A 22,551-nucleotide genomic window follows, 5' to 3' on the forward strand; every position below is an offset into this window, starting at 1 on the left:
CTTTGGGTATTACACTAAAATTAAGCCACAATCATGAACTACCAAATTAAAGACGTTACAAGAATAAGGTTTAAAACTAATCATAACTTTTAACACTTTAATATTAAAATCATACCAAAGCCTATCTTATCTACATCCTCTTCAAGAGTAGCTATCATTGTTTTATATCATGTAAGGGTTTAAGCTAATAATCTCATAGCCTAGAAACCTCAATATAATCATCAACTGGCAGGCCAGGCATGGTGGCTTATGCAGGAATAAGCCTTATGCTTATGCTTGAGCCCAGGAATTCGAGACCAGCCTGGACAAAATAGGGAGACCCAACCTCTACCCGCAAAAAAAAAAACCCCATAAACTGGCTTATCTTCAAAAGTGGATGGGTGTCAGTCTTGTACATGAAATATTAAGATCATGTAACAAATACATGTAACAAATTGTTTCAATAATCCGTATGGAAACCTTAACTCATAAAATGCACTACAGGAATTGTCTTGTGCCTTTTACATAAAACCAATAGACCCCCTGAACTTAACAGTACATTTTTCATAAAAGATTCTTATGTCGGCTCAGCACCATTAAGATATTACCTATTTATGCATGGCAATTATAAAGACTTTGAAAAAAAGCAAATCCGTGCACTGTTTAAGGAATTTTTATTAAAGCAAGAATTTTATAATCCAAATTACGTTTCCTTGCTCAGTTATCAATTCTGTTACTTAAAACAGAACTGACATTCTGAGCTATTCCACAGTAAAGAATTACAAAATTAAAGAAAGGAATGCTTTAAATTTTTGTACTTTGCTGAAAATTCTTTTTCCCAGGGTCTATAAAACATTAATTTGTTTTTATATTTTACTATTTTTTTGTGTTTTTTTGTTTTTAAATCAATAAGTAATCTAGGACTAGCATTATGTTTGCTAGACCTGGCATTTGCTCGGTACATAAGGTTCAAAGTTTCCTTTCCTTTTTTTATTTATTTTATATTTTGCAATGTTTTTTTTCCATAATATTTAAGTTTTTCGATGTTTAGATATTTTTCTTCGGTGAAGCACAAGTTTCTTTTCATGGTCCCTGATCAATCTGTAAATGTTAAAAAAACAAATTAAGACCAGGACTATCACTTGTCAGTAGCAAATTAAAGCCCTTAGCCAAATGCAATGTGGTTGTTTTTATCCATAGTTTTACTGGAACACAGCCATACCTGTTCATTTGTATACATACTATCTATGGTTGTCTTGACATGGTAACACTGGAACAAGATCATTTCAGAGATAACACAGTCCTCAAAGCCCAAAATATTTCCTATCTGGCCCTTTACAAAAAACATTTGCCAATCCCTGGTCCTGATCCTGGCTGCACTACTCAATTTCTTGGGAGTGATGAAAGACAGTAGTAGAGACCCAAGGGCACCACCCAAAAAGGAAAGGTAAAACTATGAAAGCCAACCTGTGACAGGTCATTTTATATATATATTACTATACAAAATCTGGCAGGGCGCAGTGGCTCACGCCTGTAATTTCAAGACTTTGGGAGGCCGAGGTGGGCGGATCACTTGAGGTCAGAAGTTCCAGACCAGCCTGGCCAACATGGCAAAACCCCAAGTCTAGTAAAAATACAAAAATTAGCTGGGCACGGTGGCAGGCATGGGCCTGTTAATCCCAGCTGCTCGGGAGGCCGAGGCAGGAGAATTGCTTGAACCTGGGAGGTGGAGGTTGCAGTGAGCCGAGATCGCGTCAATGCACTCCAGGTTGGGCGACAGAACGAAACTCCATCTCAAAAAAAAAAAAAAAAAAAAACACCACCTGAAAGTCCTGGGATTTTAAAAATCCAACAGTTAACGGGTAAAATTCCTTTAATTCCTCTATAGTTAGTTCCACTTTTCCTTGAAAAATTAGCAATACATTTAAATGAACTGTAAAATGATCTTTTGCTATGTACATTTCAAAATATGCTCAACAAACTTTATAAAAGATGAAGAAAACAAGCTTAAAACAACAAACCAGAGGGAAAAGCTCACTTTAAACAGTTGGAACACCGGTGGCACTGTTAACTGCTTTCTGGGCAGCCTCTTTAGCTTGGTGGGCTTGTAGTACAGCTACAGCTTCATCAACCTAAAAAAGGGGAAAACAGATAAACTGGTTCAGGAAAGGAATGGAAATAAAGAGTTTCATAATGGTAACATACCAATTCCCAACAAAGATAAGTTTCTTCCCTCAAATGAAAGTATAAATTGTTACACTAAACAACTATATCCATTCAATTTTGAGTTCTATTACACCACTATTCTAGAATTATGAATCGCTCCCCTGCACTACTCTTTCCTTGTCCTCCCCACACTCGAAAAATATTTCTCTTTCTCCACTAGAGAAAGCAGCAGCAGTTGAGAGTATGGCTGTTGGAGCTGATGGGATTTGAAGCCAGGCTCTGCCACTTAAGAGCTGTGTGAGCATTTGGCAAATTATTCAGCCTGTTTCAGTTTACCTATCTATAAAATGGGGATAAATAGCGCCACAGGTTATTATGCAGACTTTACAACTGTACATGGCTTATATATAACACGATGTAAGTGTTCTGTACAATTAAGTCCCCATAAAAAGCCACGTAATAACTGTGTAAGAGGCAACTTGGTAAATAAATTTAAATCACCTTAGAACGGAGTGACTCTGGAGACTCGAGCATATGAAGAAGTTCTGAATTATCAATCTCCAACAACATGCCAGTGATTTTACCAGCAAGAGTAGGGTGCATGGCTTGAATAAGAGGAAACAGCCGTTCACCTAGGAACAGAAACATTCAAAAACTCCCTTCAATAAAAAAAAGTTTTTAACTGCATTGAATTACCACATTAAACTGGGGTTTAAGAACCATACTTCTGTCTCACGTATATAATAACCCATAATCCACAATTTCATTATGTCTTCATGGGAAGACAGAATAAAATCTGCCACAAGGCAATTAACTCTTGATATTATCAGCTTGCCAATTAAGCAATGTTACCATTAGGTTGTTAAATCGGTGTTCAGGCAAAGTCACAAGTTTTCTTCTCATTTGCTTCAAATTCCTTCTCTCAAAAATGTAGTGAGGGCCCATGGTGAGTAATGCCCTACTACCCTATTTATTACTAACAATACATTTTCTTATTGGCTTTCCAGTGGTTTTAATTAGGCAGACCAACTGTACTATCATAATCATTCATGCCAATTCAGATCAATTCCACTGCCCTAGCTGTCAATTGATTGACCTAGTGCCTAAGTGATTCCTATATTTTCTAGTCTTTCTGAACTGACAAGGTGGGACAGAAGTACTCACCCAACATTTGCTTTTGCTCTTGAGGAGGGGCAGATGCCAACATGGAAGCAGTCAAAGGTTCCTGACCTTGTACATGAACAGCAGGCTAGACAGAAAATGAGAACTCTTAAGTTTAAAGCACAGAAAAAGATGGCAAATACAAATAGTCATCAATGGACATCTGCTGAAGTGGTAGACTTCCATCGAAACATGAGGTGGAGAAGTTGAGTGAGCGAATTAGAAAGAAGCCAAAGTAGTTATTATATACTATGTATCACAGATACATTTTTTTTCTTTTTGAGATGGAGTCTCACTTTGTCGCCCAGGCTGGAATGCAACGGCACAATCTTGGCTCGCTGCAACCTCCGCCTCCGGATTCAAGCAACTTTCCTGCCTCAGCCTCCCCAGTAGCTGGGATTACAGGCATGTGCCACCAAGCCTGGCTAATCTTTATATTTTTAGAGCTGGGGTTTCACCCTGTTGACCAGGCTGGTCTCAAACTCCTGACCTCAAGTGATCCACCTGCCTTGGCCTCCTGAAGTGCTGGGATTACATAGAGGTGTGAGCCACCACGCCTGGCCCATAGCTACTTGTAATAGTTGTTTCAGACCAGGCGTGGTGATTTAGGATGTGAATTTCTCGCTGCTTGTCCAATTCCAAAAGCGTAAGACATTTTACATACTATCATATTAGCAGAATGTTCCAGATAGGCTAAGCTCTCAAGAATCTATCATGCAGCTGTCTTCACATTTTTTCTTTTGAGACAGAGTCTTGCTGTCACCCAGCAGGGATTACAGCTTGCTGCAGCCTTAAACTCCTGGGCTCGAGCAATCCTCCTGCCTCAGCCTTCCTAGCAGCTAGGACTACAGGCTTATGCCACCACACCCAGCTAGTTTTCTTTGTGGAGACAGGGTCCTGTATGTTGCCCAGGCTGGTCCCAAACTCCTGGTCTCAAGCAATCTGCCTGCCTCAACCTCCCAAAGTGCTGGGGTTATAGGTGTGAGCCACTGTGCCCAGCTGTCTTCACACCTTTGATTTCACCCAAGAAATGTGATTTTTATTAAGAAATCATTAAATCCATACCTGTTGCATTGTAACTTGTGGCTGTGCATTAAGATGTTGCTGAGGATTGCGAACTCCTGCAGCATATTTATACTGTGGAACGGTGCGGACAGCAGGAGTAGCTGCAGCGGCTGCAGCTGCAGGACGTGGACCCATTGTCTGTGTTGATGTGTTAGCTAAAAAATAAGAACATTTTGTATTTTTATCTTGCTCTTTCAAATTGGTGATCAATTTTTAAAGGAAGGATTAAGACTCACCAACACGCTGTGTTGACATGACTCGTGGAACCTGTGAAGAAGCTGGTCTCATAGTACTAAATGGTGGTCTAGGAGCAGCTGGGCGGATAGCACCGGGCATATTTTGGAATGCTGCATTTTAAAGATGTGAATATACATTAACTGGGAAAACTTACTGAGTGAAAAGTGTTTATGCTGTCTTCTTCGATCTGAGGTTTGCATAAAAGACTAAAAAGTGACAAAACTTTTTAAAGCTGAGTCTTAACACTTGCCATTTTCCCAGACTCAGAGCATCAATAAGTAAAAACATTAATTCATACAAGGACGAGTACTTATATGTAGCGACCAGCCCCACAGGGTCGGTGGGCTTCTCCCTGTATGCAGCGACGAGAGAGTGCAGAAATAAAGACACGAGACACAGAGATTTAAAAAAAAAAGACAGCTGGGCACGGGGGACCACTACCACCAAGACGCGGAGACCAGTAGTGGCCCTGAATGTCTGGCTGCACTGTTATTTATTGGAAACAAAACACAAGGGGCAGGGTAAAGAGTGTGAGTCATCTCCAATGATAGGTAAGGTCACGTGGGTTACGTGTCCACTGGAGAGGGGGCCCTTCCCCGCCTGGCAGCCGAGGCAGAGAGGGAGAGGAGACAGAGAGAAAGACAGCTTACGCCATTGTTTCTGCATATTAGAGACTTTTAGTACTTTCACTAATTTACTACTGCTATCTAGAAGGCAGAGCCAGGTGTACAGGATGGAACATGAAGGCAGACTAGGAGCGTGACCACTGAAGCACAGCACCATAGGGAGACGGTTAGGCCTCTGGATAATTGCAGGCAAGCCTGACTGATGTCAGGCCCTCCACAAGAGGTGGAGGAGCAGTCTTCTCTAAACTCCCCAGGGGAAAAGCAGACTCCCTTTCCCGGTCTGCTAAATAGTGGGTGTTTTCCTTTGACACTTACGCTACTGCTAGACCTCGGTCCGCCTGGCAACGGGCGTCTTCCCAGACGCTGGCGTTACCACTAGACCAAGGAGCCCTTTGGTGGCCCTGTCTGGGCATAACAGAAGGCTCGCACTCTTGTCTTCTGGTCACTTCTCACTATGTCCCCTCAGCTCCTATCTCTGTATGGCCTGGTTTTTCCTAGGTTATGATTATAGAGTGAGGATTATTATGATATTGGAATAAAGAGTAATTGCTACAAACTAATGATTAATGATATTCATATATAATCATATCTAAGATCTATATCTGGTATAACTATTCTTATTTTATATTTTATTATATTGGAACAGCTCGTGTCCTCGGTCTCTTGCCTTGGCACCTGGGTGGTTTGCCGCCCACACTTATAAATATACCTGAAACATAATCATGATAAAATTCTAAGTGCTCCCAGCCTGGCCAACAGGGCAAAATCCCGTCTCTACAAAAAATTTAAAAAATTAGCTGGGCGTGGTGGCGTGTGCCTGTAGTCCCAGCTACTTGGGAGGCTGAGGCAGGAGGATCACCTGAACCCGGGAGGTGAAAGCTGCAGTAAGCCAAGACCATGCCACTGCACTCCAGACTAGAAGAAAGAGTGAGACTCTGTCTAAAAAAATAAACTCTAAGTGCTCTTGGAATATAACATACTGTTCCACAGGACAAGACATAAAATACCACGACTCTGATTCTCATACATGATTAAATGGAACGAGACCTTTAAAACTGTGGCCTGACAAAATATGAAATTGGCTGGGTGCCATGGCTCACGCCTGTACTCTCAACACTTTAGGAGGCTGAGGTGGGCAGATGACCTGAGATCAGGAGCTCAAGACAACCCTGGCCAACGTGGTCAAACCCCATCTCTACTAATAATGCGTAAGTTAGCTGGGCGTGGTGGCGGGCACCTGTAATCCCAGCTACTCCAGAGGCTGAGGCAGGGAGAAATCGCTTGAACCTGGGAGGTGGAGGTTGCAGTGAGCCGAAACTGAGCCACTGCACTCGAGCCTGGGGCAACAGAGCGAGACTCTGTCTCGAAAATAAATAAATAAATAAATAAATAAAAAATGAAGAGCTGTACCTATTCCCAAAACTTTTATAAAGGGAAATCAAACCACTGTAGACATTACTATCTTAGCACTGCTTTTAAATGCTATAAAAATGAACATCCATAACCACAAATTATGTGAAATGCAATAGTTAACCTAACATTGACATAGAAGAGCTGATTTACCCAATGTGTTATTTTTAACTCAATCCCCAACCTTAATTAAAAGAAAAAAGACTTACGATGAGGTCTGGCACCCTGAGCAGTCCAGCGAGGACTTGGTCTTAGTTGAGCAATTTGGCTAGGAGGATAGTATGCAGCACGGTTCTGAGTCTGCAGGGAAAAAAAGCACATGAGTTTATCAGTTGAAGAAAAAAGCAAATAATGCAATAAATTATATGTACTTTTTCAAAACATTTACCAGGACTTCACACTCAAGCATTTTTTCCTACTCAATCATAATTCCCCTTTCTTAATGTTTCACATTTGCGGGGCGAGGGGCACAAAAAACACTAGAAATGACCAAATACGAAAACCTTCATGGTTCTGGTTGCCTTCTAAAACCTACCTGTGGGATAGCTGCCATGAAGTAACCTGAAGGAGGTGCTGGCTGGTAGGGGTTGATTACAGGGTTGGGAACAGCTCGTACACTTGCCATTCTCTGCATATACTGGTTAGTGAGGTGAGCCTGGCGCTCTTCTTTGCGCTGAGCTAAAGCTACATACAATGGCTTTGTGGCCACAATTCTACCGTTCATTTCTGTAACTGCTTTAGTGGCTTCTTCTGGGGAGGAGAAACATACAAAACCAAACCCTTTGCTGCGACCACCCTCCATCATAACCTATTAAAAAAAAGAAAAAAAAAGTTAACGTAATGGTAGAATGAGGAGCAAAAAAAGAGCGTTACAATTTAGACAATTATAAATCACTGAATCAAATAACTAAACCCTGTTAATGCTTAATCATCTTGTATTTACCCATTGAGTTCACAATTTTTCCTTAATACCCAATTATTAAGGGCAAACTACACATATGCATTACCCTAGCCAGGTCAGAGAACTGACAGAAGTGAAGGCTGCACAGAAACTTTTAAAGATTTTAGATACTGAATTTGATTGGATTTTCAATATTGAAATTTAATTATCTAAATAAATACATCCCAGGCCTACTAAATTGACTTTTGGGCACCACTGGAAGCATTTCCCAATTAAATTTTGACTATTCTAACAATTCAAGCTGACAAGATGCTTCACTATGCCTTTGAGAAAAAAGTAGTTGAATCTTACAATACCCACATCTTAAAATAAAAGTTTTTACATTCAAGAGCAGAGGATCCATAAATATTACGGTATAAAGAACACTCAAGAGGAAGGTTCTTCTAAAATTGATTGCAAAGACCTTTTAAATGAGCAATGAAGACTTGCAAAGAACCACTCGCTAGGCCAGCAATATATATAAGCATGCTATAAAACTACATTAACAGTATGCGAGTGGCATAGGAACAAACGGTAATAAAACAGAGGCCAGAAATATACCCAAGCAATTATGGGAATTCACTGTGCTAAAGTTAACATTTTAAAGTACTGGGGAAAAAGGACTTTGGGCTACTCAATACATGACACACTGGGACAAATGAAAAAATGTAGAACTCTTAATTCACATTACATTGAAAAATCTTAAATGCCAGGTAGATTCTGAATCTGAACATAGAATGTAGAAATAGAGAGAAAACCTTTCTAAGATGACACACACACAAAGTGAGGTCTATAAAGTGGAAAATTCGAAGAAAATATTTCCAATATAAAACAAATGTTTGGCCGGGCGCGGTGGCTCACGCCTGTAATCCTAGCACTTTGGGAGGCCAAGGCGGGTGGATCACCTGAAGTCAGGAGTTCGAGACCAGCCTGGCCAACGTGGCGAAACCCCGTCTTTACTAAAAATACAAAAATTAGCCGGGCATGGTGGCAGGTGCATATAATCCCAGCTACTCGGGAAGCTGAGACAGGAAAACTGCTTGAACCCAGGGGGTGGAAGTTGCAGTGAACTGAGATCACACCACTTCACTCCATCTCAAAAAAATAAAACAAATGTTCCCTTAATCAATAAAAAGACAGACAACCAGCCAGGCACGGTGGCTCACGCCTGTAATCCCAACACTTTAGGAGGTCACCTGAGGTCAGGAGTTGGAAGACCAGCTTGGCCAACATGGTGAAACCCCATCTCTACTAAAAATACCAAAAATTAGCTGGGCGTAGTGGCACATGCCTGTAATCCCAGCTACCCAGGAGGCTGAGGCAGGAGAATCGCTTGAACCCGGGAGGCGGAGGCTGCAGTGAGCTGAGATTGCACCACCGCACTCCAGCCCAGGCGAGAGTGAGACTCGTCTTTAAAAAAGACAAAAAAAAAACACCTCATAAGTTTAAGAATTTGTGTTGCACTGCATTAAAAGCATTCTTGGGCCGCATGTGGCCTGCAAGCAGCGGGTTGGACAAGCTTGGCTTAAGCCCAGGAAAGGCTGAGGCTGCAGTGAGCTGTGATTGTGGCATGCCCCTGCACTCCAACCTGGGCAACATAATGAGATCCTGTCTCAAGAAACAGAAAAACATGCATGCTTCATACATTCAAAATATGCTGATGCACAACACTCAATTTAAACAATATCCAGGGAACACACTGAAGACAAAAACATTCAGGAATAAATTCTATCGTACTCCAATACTCTTACATAAAAAGCATAATCTGAAACACAAGACAACCATGGCACTTCCATCTTACTTGTATTCAACCACCTTTCCCCTAACATTTCCTCACTCTCACAGAAGCTTCCTCGGACTTGCCAGGAAAAGCTGACTAGAAAGATCAGCCACAGCGTCATTCCAGTTCAGTTGAGTTGTAATTTTTTTCTATGCACTCTTCCCCAACCCCAGCAAAATTATGTATGCACAAAACCTTGCATATAGGGGGACTCTTGGCCCACGGATGCTAGACAAAAACATCTAGAAGAGAACTTCTTAAATCAAGATTTCAGAATTTGTACTAGAATACTACTGCTTTGTTTCTTAATCTCTGATTTCAAATAAAAGAAAATATGATCTCTATTCTTACTGCTAGGGGGCAGGGGAGGGAACTGGGGCTTGACTACCCAGAATGAATTGTAGAAATGAATAAACAGATCAGAACTATAGTAACAATTATAAGTCCCTAATAAATTGCTTGCTTTAGCAAAATGACTAGTTGTTGGAATAGTGCATATCATGTGAGGATATCAGCCTTCCTTAGCAAAGAGTTCAGTGCTTGCCATTTTTAAGTTAACCATTAGGCTATGACAACCAGTTCAAATGTGAATTTAAGTTTTAGAAGTAACGAAGCAAACACCTCTCTAGTGGCTATAATAATACAAAATTTATATACATATATCTACATGTATGAATTTTTACTAGACCTCAAATAAATGAACCATATGTTTTCTTACCTTTGCACTAGTGATTGTACCAAATGGAGAAAACTCTTTCCGGAGACGTTCATCATCAATACCATCATCAAGATTTTTCACATAAAGATTAACACCCTAAAAAGAAGAAAAGAAAACTATAGAAAAAGAAAACCATGGTGGTACCTAAGTACATCGGGTCTATTATTTTACCCCATATTTCTTCTCCTATTCCCCTCTCAAACCCTCCAGCTACCTGGAAGTAACTGAAATCAACGTAAAATAGGTTTCCTCATCCCTGTCTTATTTTGGTTGTTCAATTAAAAATGAACCTGGTATCTGGTGATCCTATCTTGTTTCATCTGTTCAAATTTGCGCTTAAGTTCCGTCTGCCGTTCCACCTTTTTCTGAGCTCGACCAACATAAATTTGTTTTCCATTGAGCTCCTTTCCGTTCATCTCATCCACAGCCTTCCCCCCAAAAAAAAAGAAAAAAAAAAAATCACAAAACTTTCAACTTACAGTTCATTTCCTTAACAGTTAAGACAAATTTGTTAAGTCACAAAAGCTAAAGACAAACCCATCCCAAAATCTCAAGGTTTTGGGACAATATAGGTTACCAATTTATACTCTCAAACCTAATGCATAAAATGCAAATAACTGAAAATATAAGAACATGTCAAATAGCTATTAGTATGCACATAGACTTCAACACAAGAGCAACTCAACTTTGTACCCCCTTCTTCCTGCTGAATACAGACCACTTACTTTCTGTGCATCTTCATGCCTTTCAAAGCTTACAAATCCAAATCCTTTGGATTTTCCACTTTCATCAGTCATTACTTTCACACTTAAGGCAGGCCCTAAAAAATTTTTTTACATAAATCAAAGATATTCCATACAACATTCACGTTATACATTTCAAATTTCAACATACAAAGCCATGAAAAAAATTTCAAAGCTCCGTAACTTGACTCCTCCCTCCCAGCCTTCTATGCCCCAGGTAGGTATACTTTTCCATTGAAAGACCTTTTATTATTAAGAAGGTAAACACCTTCCCTCCCCTGAAGGATTCCTCCTTCCATTTAAGGAGGTACACTTTAAACGGCTGTAAAAAGTTTTATTCTCAGCTCTAGCACAAAAGAGTTGCATTTTTTACCCAATAATTTGATTTTTTCCCTTTTCTATAGAGACAGTATATCATTCCATTGCCCAGGCTGAAGTGTAGCAGCACAATGAATAAGCTCACTTTAACTCAACTCCTGGGCTCAAGTGATCCTCCTGCCTCAACTTACCAAGTATCTGGGACTACTGGCCCACATACCACCATGCCTGGCTAATTTATTTTTTGTAGAGATAGGGTCTTGCTATGTTGCCCGGGCTAGTCTAAAACTTGTGGCTTCAAGTATCTTCCCTCTTTGACCTCCCCAAGCGCTAGGGTTACAGGCATGAGCTATTGTGCTAAGACCAATTTGATTTTCTTTGTATCAATTAAGAAACAAGTATTTATTAAGCCTTGGCCTACCCGACTTTCAACAGGAGTGGAAGGAATACATAGTTGGACTCTTTGGTAAGACATAGGTAATACAGGAATTTGAAAGACAGGGAAAAAAAATTCTTTTTAAAGACACAGGTGAACTACCTGGAAGAGGAAGCATTTATTTCTGAAGACATGTTTTCCCCTAACTCCCTCTAAAGTAGGAGAGACAGGTAACTGAGGCGGGTGGTATCTCAGGCAAGTGGGGCAGAAAAGGTTAAAAATCACATTTGATTACAGAAATTTAGAAGATGTATGGGCCAAGGCAGATTTTCTTCTGAATGTGCCTCTCTCCTGAGGCCAAAGTCAAGAAAATATGACATATTCACATATTTGTGGTCAACTTATGCAGCATTACTCATACGGTAGGTAGTTAACATCAACTTTTACAAACAGCTTCTAATTATAAGACATTAAGAAGCATGACAGTTGAAATATATAAAAGGCAGTAGCTAAATTTGGGGGTTGAGATGTAAACATGATGTCACTTTCTATGTTTTATATCATCTATCTTTGTGCAAAATGGTACTTTTTTGCTCTAGTGGAGGGCTTGATGTGACATGCTAGCATGGCAGTAAGATATTAGATTTCCTGGCCAGGCACAGTGGCTCACACCTGTAATCCCAGCACTTTGGGAGGCCGAGGTGGCTGGATCACTTGAGGTCAGGAGTTGGAGACCAGCCTGGCCATCACGGTGAAACCCCGTCTCTAATAAAAATACAAAAATTAGCTGGGCATGGTGGCGCACACCTGTAATCCCAGCTACTCAAGGTAGAGATAGGAGAACTGCTTGAACCCGGGAGGCGGAGGCTACAATGAGCCGAGATCACGTGACTGCACTCCAGCCCGGGTGACAGAGCAAGAGTCAAAAAAAAAAGTATTAGATTTCCTAATTCTTTATTATTTGACATATTAAAAAAAGCAAGACACCTCTAAGTTCAACACAAAATGCAAAGGGTGGGGTCAAGCAAATCATCTGCACATGAACACTTAAAAGTTATTTTATCTGTTATACCCCTACCTAAACTAAGGCTGGTTTGTGCTTCATCAATTTCAAGTTTTATGAAGTTATTTTTAAATGCAGGAAATAAGTACTTTGAATCACTGGAAAATCTGAATTTTTGGTTTCATCGCTGAAAGTCATTGTTTTAAACTGCTCAAACATGATGTTACTTAGACTGACCAGCTTTATTGTTCTATGAGACTGCATTCCACTGTAGGCTGGCTGTGTCAAATATATGCTTCTGATGACATGGGATCTCTAATTACACACACACACACACACACACACACACACACACACATATATATCTCCAGCCTCTTAATGTAGTAAAATATTTTAAAATCTGTTCTAATTACTTAGTCATACCTTACTGTGCTAATCTAATGCTATTAACCTTTAACCTGGATAGAATTCTATTTATTTGCATTATACTACTTTGTAGTGTAATAGATGGCCAGCAGCTTAATTCAAATAACCACAAATATTTTAAAGTACCATGTAAGTCTAATTTTATTGACTTTTTTAGTATAAAGTAATAGCTAAAATTAACACTGAGCACTAATTCAGAGCTTTGTGTGTAAAAATTTAATTAAGACACATTACCAAACTTGCCAAAGAGATCCTTAAGGCGCTCATCATCCATGTCTTCTCCAAAATTCTTGATGTAAACATTGGTGAATTCTTTTGCCCTAGCTCCAAGTTCAGCTTCTCGTTCTTTACGAGACTTAAATCGTCCAACAAATCTAATAAGATATACAAGGACTATAACATTAGATTCTATTTTATAAAGTTCAGATTAAGTAAGCCTGATGGTTGGTTTTGTTACTGTTAATGAGAATATTCAGAATCCCTAATAAAAAGCACACTACAAAATAGAAATAGGGCCATAATTTAAGATATGACACCATGAAATATATGAATAAGCCTCTAACTACAATCACAAAAAAAAAACCACTTCTTTTAATACACACTTCTCTTCTCTAGCTAACCTAGGGTTAAAGGGATCACTCCCATCAATACAAATGAGTGGAAGTGCATGTGTACCATGCCAATAAAAAGACCTCTATCAAATTAAAAAGCTTTCATCGTCATTTTAAAGTGGCGCTTGCGCTTTCTTTGCCATCTCCTAGAATAAAAATTTAAACTTCCCAATCGTGTACTCTAACACACAACAGCCTGACATAACTGCAGCATTTTCAACAAAATGACACTAAAACTTAATTTTTTCTGAATATAACAGTAGTAATTCAGAACAAGGATCACTGGGCTAGGCAGTGGCTCACACCTGTAATCCCAGCACTTTGCAAGGCCAAGGTGGGATGATCACTGGAGGCCAGGAATTCGAGTTCAGCCTAGCCAACATGGTGAAACTGTCTCTACTAAAGTACAAAAATTAGTTGGGTGTGGTGGTGTACACCTGTAATCCCACCTACTTGGGAGGCTGAAGCACGACAATTGCTAGAACCCGGGAGGCAGAGGTGGCAGTGAGTAGATTGCACCACTGCACTCCAGCCTGGGCAAGAGAGCAAGACCATGTCTCAAAAATATAAAAAGAACAACGATCACTGAAGAAAAAAAGGTAGCACATGTGTCATAGCATATTATAATACACAGCAAAGCAGAAGGAAAAACCATCTTACATAATCTCACCCTAGTCATCTAAATTTCCTTATCTCTAACCCAGCTTTAGAATAAAAAGTAAAATAAAAATAATTTCCTTATCTCTCCACAAAATATGGTTGGTCTTCGCTATGCTATTAGTTTCATAAATGTTCTCAAAGGGAGCGTATTTCATTGTGACCATCACTTTCTGCTTTGTAAATAATGCTGCAACTTTTTTAAGAGACAAGGTCTTGCTATTCTGCCCTGGCTGGAGTGTAATAGCTGTTCACAGGCACAATCACAACACACTACAGCCTTGGCTCAAGCATCCTGCCTCAGCTTCCCAGTGGCTGGGAATAAAGGCACACTGCAGTAAAGCTGAAACTTTATGAAAGACACTTTGTGTATTTCTTCTTAGGACAGTTACAAATTTCCAAAAGAGTTATATCACTTTTACTCAAAACAGCAACATATCATTCTTTTCTGGATCCTGCCAGTGTTGGGCTTGCTTTTTTTTCCTCCTAAAGCCCTGGTAACAGGCATTTGTGAGTATTTATTTATTTTTTTTAAAGACAGTTTCAATCTTGTCGCCCAGACTGGAGTACAATGGCGAAATCTCGGTTCACTGCAACCTCCGCCTCCCGGGTTTAAGTGATTCTCCTGCCTCAGCCTCCCGAGTAGCTAGGATTACAGGCATGCGCCACCATGCCCAGCTAATTTTGTATTTTTAGTAGAGACGGTTTCTCCATGTTGGTCAGGCTGGTCTCAAACTCCCAACCTCAGGTGATCCGCCCACCTCGGCCTCCCAAAGTGCTGGGATTTACAGGCATGAGCCACCGCGCCCGGACTTGTGAGTAATGTATGTCTCTCATTTTACAGTACATAAAAGCAAATTACTTTGAGTTTCCTCACCTATAAAATGGGTTAATTTAACCAGTACCTCAAGAATTATGAATATTAGGTTTGTCTGAATTCCTGATTTTTCACTAATGCACTCATTTTGAAAAAGCTACATTTTTCTGTTTACTTATCTTCTGTTTTCCTTTTGGCATGAATGTTAATTATATTAAACCTGTTATTTGTATGTTACACTTACTGTGTAGAAAATTCAATTGTAAAAATCAAGATTAGCTTATTAATTTTCACTCCAGTACAACTACATGAATTTTTGTTATTCATCTTTAAAATGTTTTTATTCTTTTATCTTATGTGCATCTAACTTCTCCCTGACAAATATTAACTTAAAATGAATGGATTTGGAATTATTAAAAATAAGATTCAAAATATGATTAGCTAGATATTTATAACTTACACTTTGCGATCATTTAGGAGCATTCCATTCATTTTTTCAATAGCTCTTTCAGCTGCTTCCTGCGTCTCAAAGTGTACAAATCCATAGCCCTTGGAACCATTTTCATCACAAACCACCTAGGGAAAAACATATACCCATTTTTCTTTATTTGCTATTGATTTAACATTTGTTCAGTGTTGAGAGACAATCTGTTAGCCATCTAACCTGGATATTTGTGAAATAAAGATATCCATTACTGCACAGTTCCTATTTCAAGCACTAAACTAAATGTAGCTCAACAATGTAAACATGTGTATCGGACATTTTTGGCTTACCTTACATGAAAGGATGTTACCAAAAGCAGAAAATGTATCATACAGTGCTTTATTATCAATGGATTTGTCCAGATTTTTAATGAATATGTTGCCTACTCCACTTTTGCGAAGTGATGGATCACGCTGAGACCACATGATGCGTACTGGCTTGCCCTTTATAACATCAAAATTCATGGTGTCCAAAGCACGCTCCGCTGCAGGAAGGACATTTTCAGAGTCAATATTACTTCAAAATTTTTGCTGGCTACTTAAGATTATATAAACTATGGTGACTGGAGTGGGAGGACACATGGTCTCACAGTTGAACGCTTCCTCTTTAAGCTTCAAGATGGCTAGACCTTTCAAGTATCACACACTAGTGTGGGACCTAAGTTGTATAAAGCAAAGACAAATACCAGAAGCCCCCGAAATTTCTCACATATAAAAGAATTCCATATTGCTAATAATTAATAAATTCTTGACGCAATCTCTCGCCTTAATTGCCATTAAATCTAAAGCACTTTTTTTCCTAGTTATCAAAATCCAAATTCCTTCACATACAATCTGTTTAATAAGCAGTATAAAAGACATTACGCAACAGATTTATCTACAAGCTGGAAGTAGTTTATAGATTTAAATATTTTAACTTCTTCCCAACTACTTGCTAAAATTGGTCATTTCATTGCTAATAACTAACAATATTATATGAAAACTAGTCCATTTCCTAAAAAATGAAAGTTTCTTAATTATTGGGGGGAGGGAGGGTTTCAGTGATTCATGGCACAACTTCCATTTAAGAAAATGAAAGGCTAGACCAAGATTTGAATCATGCTTTCAAAAGCTAATGTGAAGTTAGACATATTTGGTTTCATAATCACAGAATTTTAAAAACACCAGGTCTGCAATATTCAGAAATCACCATTAACGCTCTCTTGACACATACAATCAATTTCACTTTAGATCGCTGATTTTCTTAACAACTGATTTAGTTATTTCTGAATACTGCTAGAAAATTTCAAAATCTACAATTAATTTCAGGATCTATAAAGGATTGAATTATGTATACCTGTACCATTAAAGGCTCTAAATGAAATAACACATCCTTAAATAAAAAGACTAGTCCCCGAAGAGAGGGAAAACGGTCCCTTTTAAGCCCTGAAACAATTCCTACAAATTCCATGCCAATGTAAATTTAAAAGTTATTGACAGGATGAATTTTCCGGCCACCTCTTTTTTTATAAATGAAAGTTCCAGTTTCTAGAATATAGTGATAATCAGCTGTTAGCTCATTATCAATTGACCACACCTACTCAGCTTCCCTAGTTTTTTTTTTTTTTTAGCTGACTTTGCTTGAGCTATTTTTCAATGAGTCACCTCTTCCTATGAAATTGAAAACTGGTCACTTTCAGAAGCTATTCTGCCTATCAATGTAGCAATAAGTTTTTAAAAAAGAACAAGAAATCCACTTAAGTAATTAATTGGATAGTAAATTGTACATACAGAAACTAGACAAATGGAAAACTGCCATATTCTTTTCAGTAGTTAGGGTACTGGTCTACTGGTACAGACTGATAATATATACTGTACACTGTAACCACGGCAACCTGAAGTTCAACTCTTCGAATCCCAAGAAATGTAAAAATTGTTTTTTGGATTTAAAAACGTTAAGCTGAGAAAGAGTAACACTTTCAAGTTTTCATTTTGTGGTCTCTAGAATTCATTCCCATGTTTTCTCCACCAACTCTTAGGTTGTGATAACCTGCCCCAAAGTTATCTACCCCCATCTGACATGCATTGATACATCCTGCCTAAGGTTGACAAGAACTGTTATGAAGTGACATTTGGAGTTACTGCTTACAGAGCAAAAGGGCAGGAAACCTGCAGTGCAGTTTTACAACTTCTGGCTCTGTGTCACTCAATATTCTGCTTCCAAAATCAGTATCAACTTTACACAGTGAAGAGCTGATCAGTAACCTAAGTTCTACTGAATGAATGTTAATAGGAGCTTAAATTCCACCCTTAAGGCCTTTTCTAATAAAAATGAATTCTTCATATTTCGATTATTTGACATGTATTCAAGTGGCCAGCCTGTAGGGGGGGAAAAAGGCAAAATTGGGCCGTAAAATGGAATTAAGCTGACTTCTCAAAGCCAATTGATCTAAAGACAAATCCTAGCAACTCAACAGACCACAGATATTATCTGTTTACAAAATTGTGTTTCTGTTAACTGTTTAGCTTCAAAATAAAAGCACAAAGTTAGCTGCATTTCCCCCATAAATTTCAAGCTCAATTTAATCTCCGTTATTTTGTACTCAGTCATTTCCCAAGATTTACAGGTATCATGGGCCACTTTTAAAAATAAAAGAGAAACTTGAACTTCTTGCATGCTACAGATAAGACTGGTCCAGTTGGAATTACACTAAAGTAACATTTTATAGCCAAAGTTGACTATTTTATAAAGAAAAGCCCCTCAAAACGACAGGAACTATTTCAGAAGGTAACATAATATACTCGAAAACCACCAGTACTGTGAATCTAAGATAAAATTTGACTAAAAATGGTCTAAGTTGCCTGAGAAAACTGGCCTTCAAAGTGGTCGGCTGCCACATCCCCTCCTCCCACTCTGCCCTTTTAATGTTAGAGAAATGCTTGATCTAGGGGAAACCCCAAATGCATGTCTCCGGTAAATTCCATTCCTAGATCCATCAGTCACTGATGAGTTCTGGGAAGTGGACTCACAAGCCTGAGGACCACCACCACACCACACATCGCCACAGGAACTTTATCCTAAGGCCTGGTGGCTCCCCCAGGCGACTGGGCCAGGAGCAGGAGCAGAAGCAGGCCTCGGGCCTGCGAGGTTACAGGGTTCAACACGTGGTATTTTTCGAGCACAGAACTGCACTTCCTCCCCAGGCTGGGGCGCCGGCAGGAGCTCCGGGTGGTGGGAGCGCCTCCACCTCTTACCCACGGAAGGAGCTCAGCGTTCAACGCCCCAGAATCCCGGGGCCACTGGCGGGAGCGCCGCGGAGGAACCGAATCTCACCCACCCTCCCGGCGCGTCATCACCCTAAAGTTTGAGAGCGTCTGAGGCCGAGAAAATGGTCGCAAAGGAGGAAGTAGCCGGGCGTGTGGCTGCCGGCAGCGCGGGTCCCCGCCGGCTCGGGAAACGCGGCTCCAGGGACCCCGGCGCCTTCCCGCCGGCCGTCGCGGGGTGACATGCCCTCCCGCCCCCCTCCCCGGGCCCGCCGGCCTACCCCGCCCGCCGCCGCCGCCCGAGCCTCATGGCCGCCCGCCCGCCCGGCCGACCGCGGAGCCCGGCGCTCACCGTCCGCCGGCTGCTGGAAGTTCACATACGCGTAGCCCAAGGAGCGGCGGGTGATCATGTCCCTGCAGACCCGGATGGAGAGGATGGGCCCGGCCGGGCTGAACTTCTCGTAGAGCATCGCCTCGGTCACGTCGGGGTGGAGGTCCCCCACGTAGAGCGAGGCCATGGGGTAGCTGGGGGCACTGGGGTTCATCTCGGCACGGCTGCCCGCAGGGCCACAGGCCGCGACCTTTCCGTGAGAGGAGGAGAGCGAGTGCCGGGGCTGGGGGCCGGAGCCGGGGGGAGGGGAGCGGGGAGCAAGCGCAGAGGGACAAAAATCAACCGGAATTGAAAACTACTCAACGGCCGCAGAACGGGGTCGATCCACTGCCGCTGGCTGCCGGCTGCCGGCGGGGAGCGAGGGTGGCGGTGTCGGGTCCGGGCAGCGGGAAGGCCTCGGTCTCTTGGTTCCTTCTTGGAGCTGCTGCGGGGCCGCGGGCGGGCGGGTCGGTCTCGGCTGCTTCACCGGGTTATTTTATAAAAGAGGAAGAAAAAAAATAAAAGTCTCCGGCGGGGGAGACGCGGATTTTTTGTAAATTTTTTTGGGGTTTTTTAAAAGATTTTTTTAGATTTTTTTTGGATTTTTTAATAATAAATGTGTGTTCCGAGCCCGGAGCACACACTCCGCACTCTCAGCACTAACCGCCGGGGAGAAGGGGAAGCACCGCCTCCTGCACCCTCTACTTATACCCCGCGCCGCACTCGCCCCGCCCCCGCGCGTCTGACGCCAGGGCCCCTACGCGAGCGTCAGCGCCGGAGTAGGAGGAGACGCGGAGGCCAGGGGGAGGAGGGAAGAGAAAACAGGAGGAAAGAGCAGAGAGGAAGGGAGAGGTGGCGGCGGTGGAGGCTGCGGTGTGGGGGTGGGGCTCGGGCGAAGGGGCGGGGCTTTTGCGCAGGCGCCGCGGCCGGGGAAGCGGAGCCCGCGCTGCGTCGCGTCCGTGGGGGTGGGGAGGACGGCTCGCGGGCGGTCCTCGGGGGTGTTGGCTGAGGCGTCCCCGCCTTCCGCCCCGCCCGCCCCTGCCTCCACCAGGAGGAGCGTTAACCCGTCACCGCGGCGGTGGGCGGTGCAAAGGGCTTCCGGGTTCCTCCGCGCTAACCACCCCCCACGTGCGCGGCCGCCTGTGGCCTCTTCCCGCTGCGGCCGGCCCGGCTCCTCTAGCCCCAGCTCCGGGGGACGCCGGGCACGGGTGAGCGGGCGTGGTCCCCTCCGGGCCCGGTTTCCGAAACGTGCGTAGATGGAGCCAGCGTGGCCCCCTGCTCTCTCCTACCCGGACCGCACTACGAGTCCCAGCCGGCACCGCCGCCACGCGCGTCGGCCGCAGAAGCGGTGCCTGCTGGGAGCTGGAGTCCCCAACGGCCGCGGCGCTCGCTGACACCAACTGGCTGCGCGGGTCCTGGCCGCCCGCTCCGGGACCCCCCAACCGTCCTGCGCGCTGGACCCCGGCACCGCTGGAGCTCCCGGCGCGGGGTTGGGGGGCAGGGAGAGAGAGGGGAGGGCCCCTCGGGTTCCTCGTCCTCTTCTTTTCCAGCCCGACCCTCCTCCGTGTCTTCACTGGACGTTGTCGTTGGTCAAAGTGGCTTTAATTTGGGATAGCTGTGTTGGGGGTCTTTGGTCACTTCTTACCTTAAGGTGCTAGGCTGGAATCATTGATTTGTGCTGCTTCTGCCAGACATTTCTTGGCGATAGAAACCAGGAGTGGAGAAAAGTGAATGTTTTTCCTGAAAGTACGGGTTTGTCACAATCACTACTATATGGCACCACAGCCCTGCAACCAGACAAAATTAGGAATAGTCTAAAACAACGTCCTTATAAATAACTAAAACAATTCTGCACATTAGTAGTGGGTTTTAATAGGAATGCTAAATTTAACGAATTGATAGTAATAAAAACCGGCTCTAGGAATGACATTAAATCAACATACAAATTCCACTCGAAAGTAGTAAAGTGCTTTTACAGTTTTTAAAGCACTCGCGTAAACATACTATCATTTGTTCCTGAGAGCAATCTGGTGTGGGAGGTGGAGCAAGTAGTAATAATTTTACTTTACTGTTACAGGAACAGTCTCAAAGAAGTTAAATGATTGCCCAATTTATTCCTTAATTCAATAAACTTTAATGGATGTCAACTGTATTGCTAGGTGTGGAATTAAGTACTTTATATCTTGTCTCATTTAATTAGAATTTAAACCAGTGGAATCCCACATAAATACTATTTTGCTCCTATTAAAAAGAGGATAAAATGTGACCGGGCGCGGTGGCTCACTCCTGTAATTCCAGCACTTTGGGAGGCTGACGCACGCTGATCACTTGAGGTCAGGAGTTCGAGACCAGCCTGGCCAACATGGTGAAACCCCGTCTCTACTAAAAATACAAAAAGTAGCCAGGCGCGGTGGCTCACGCCTGTAATCCCAGCACTTTGAGAAGCCAAGGGGGGCAGATCACGAGGTCAAGAGATCGAGACCATCCTGGCCAACATGGTGAAACCCCGTCTCTACTAAAAATACAAAAATTAGCTGGGCGTGGTGGCGCGCGCCTATAGTCCCAGCTACTCGGGAGCCTGAGGCAGGAGAATCGCTTGAACCCGGGAGGCGGAGGTTGCAGTGAGCCAGGATTGCGTCACTGCACTCCAGCCTGGTGACAGAACGAGACTCAAATAAATAAAAAATAAACAGTTGTTAGGCTTCCAGGGCAGCTTGACAGGCAGTGATGCCCTGGATGGTAAATGGAAGCATTCTCATCACTAGAAAAGTATATTAGTGCTTTGTAGGTGAATACATAGTTTGGGAAGGGAGCCAGTCATCAGGACGTCTATGCAGCTGTGGCTCTTGCACTTAGTAGATGTCATTGTCATATTTTATGGAGGTACAGTTGAGTATGTGCAAGGGAAAGTAGAAGCAAAGTCCATACCTGAGGACAAGGAGCTGCTATTTAATAGAATAGGAGAGAGAGTCAGAGCCCAGGAGGAAACAGGAGTGGGATCTGGAACTGAAACCAAGAACCTGTTCCCTTGATCCATCAATCACCTCTTTTTATTTCCAGCCAGCTGCTTTCGCTCAGATCAGAAACTGGTCAATTCAGATCAAAAAGAAAACAAACCAATCTTCTCTTAATGACATATTCCTCTCTCATTCACTTTTTTTTCATAGCCAAGCTTTTCATTTCTGCTTTCTCTCTCCTTAGTTCCTCAACACTACCGTATGACTTCCAGCTGCACTCAAATTGCCCCATCAACAGTTGCCAATGATCCCTGTTCTATTTGACAAATCCAATGGACTTTCTTCAGGTCCATTTTACTGGACATCTGCAGAGTTTGACACTGTTTTCCTCCCTCTCTTTTGTCACACACTCTCTTGGCGTCTGGGCTACACTTTCCTGGTTCTGCCTCTCAGATTCTTCCTCCT

At 42.3% G+C, this 22,551-nt stretch overlaps 1 protein-coding gene and 1 non-coding gene across 4 annotated transcripts, besides 8 other annotated features; both read right to left on the reverse strand.

Moving 5' to 3' along the window:
- PABPC1 (poly(A) binding protein cytoplasmic 1) lies at positions 637-19,809 on the reverse strand. Of its 3 annotated transcripts, none has more exons than NM_002568.4 (15): positions 19,112-19,809; positions 15,808-16,001; positions 15,494-15,609; positions 13,183-13,322; positions 10,808-10,902; positions 10,373-10,510; positions 10,083-10,178; positions 7,180-7,452; positions 6,854-6,944; positions 4,608-4,718; positions 4,372-4,526; positions 3,310-3,394; positions 2,647-2,777; positions 2,018-2,111; positions 637-1,080 (listed from the first exon to the last, which is right to left on the reverse strand). In NM_002568.4, exons 1-14 carry the CDS (start codon positions 19,302-19,304, stop codon positions 2,019-2,021), a joined length of 1,911 nt encoding a protein of 636 aa, NP_002559.2. In that variant the 5' UTR covers positions 19,305-19,809; the 3' UTR covers positions 637-1,080; position 2,018. The 3 variants fall into 3 exon arrangements, with proteins under 3 accessions (NP_002559.2, NP_001425211.1, XP_047277650.1); NM_001438282.1 differs by having other exon boundaries at positions 2,001-2,111; XM_047421694.1 differs by having other exon boundaries at positions 1,016-2,111.
- Positions 689-745, reverse strand: MIR7705 (microRNA 7705). Its single transcript, NR_106992.1, has one exon. It is a non-coding gene; the product is annotated as a microRNA 7705 (primary transcript).
- Positions 18,986-19,095: a silencer, noted in NCBI's record as "silent region_19420". NCBI's record gives its function as "represses an Ori minimal core promoter by ATAC-STARR-seq in GM12878 lymphoblastoid cells {active_cell/tissue: GM12878}" and the evidence as "EXISTENCE:reporter gene assay evidence [ECO:0000049][PMID:35858748]".
- Positions 18,986-19,880: a biological region, named in NCBI's record as "H3K27ac hESC enhancer GRCh37_chr8:101733555-101734387".
- Positions 19,048-19,880: an enhancer, noted in NCBI's record as "H3K27ac hESC enhancer chr8:101733555-101734387 (GRCh37/hg19 assembly coordinates)". NCBI's record gives its function as "activates a minimal SCP1, AML or CMV promoter by ChIP-STARR-seq in naive H9 embryonic stem cells {active_cell/tissue: H9 hESC(naive)}" and the evidence as "EXISTENCE:reporter gene assay evidence [ECO:0000049][PMID:30033119]".
- Positions 19,776-19,855: a silencer, noted in NCBI's record as "silent region_19421". NCBI's record gives its function as "represses an Ori minimal core promoter by ATAC-STARR-seq in GM12878 lymphoblastoid cells {active_cell/tissue: GM12878}" and the evidence as "EXISTENCE:reporter gene assay evidence [ECO:0000049][PMID:35858748]".
- Positions 19,935-20,435: an enhancer, noted in NCBI's record as "H3K27ac hESC enhancer chr8:101734442-101734942 (GRCh37/hg19 assembly coordinates)". NCBI's record gives its function as "activates a minimal SCP1, AML or CMV promoter by ChIP-STARR-seq in naive and primed H9 embryonic stem cells {active_cell/tissue: H9 hESC(naive and primed)}" and the evidence as "EXISTENCE:reporter gene assay evidence [ECO:0000049][PMID:30033119]".
- Positions 19,935-20,936: a biological region, named in NCBI's record as "H3K27ac hESC enhancers GRCh37_chr8:101734442-101734942 and GRCh37_chr8:101734943-101735443".
- Positions 19,936-20,645: a silencer, noted in NCBI's record as "silent region_19422". NCBI's record gives its function as "represses an Ori minimal core promoter by ATAC-STARR-seq in GM12878 lymphoblastoid cells {active_cell/tissue: GM12878}" and the evidence as "EXISTENCE:reporter gene assay evidence [ECO:0000049][PMID:35858748]".
- Positions 20,436-20,936: an enhancer, noted in NCBI's record as "H3K27ac hESC enhancer chr8:101734943-101735443 (GRCh37/hg19 assembly coordinates)". NCBI's record gives its function as "activates a minimal SCP1, AML or CMV promoter by ChIP-STARR-seq in primed H9 embryonic stem cells {active_cell/tissue: H9 hESC(primed)}" and the evidence as "EXISTENCE:reporter gene assay evidence [ECO:0000049][PMID:30033119]".

Source organism: Homo sapiens, chromosome 8, assembly GCF_000001405.40.
Source record: "Homo sapiens chromosome 8, GRCh38.p14 Primary Assembly".
NCBI classification, from domain to species: Eukaryota; Metazoa; Chordata; class Mammalia; order Primates; family Hominidae; genus Homo; species Homo sapiens.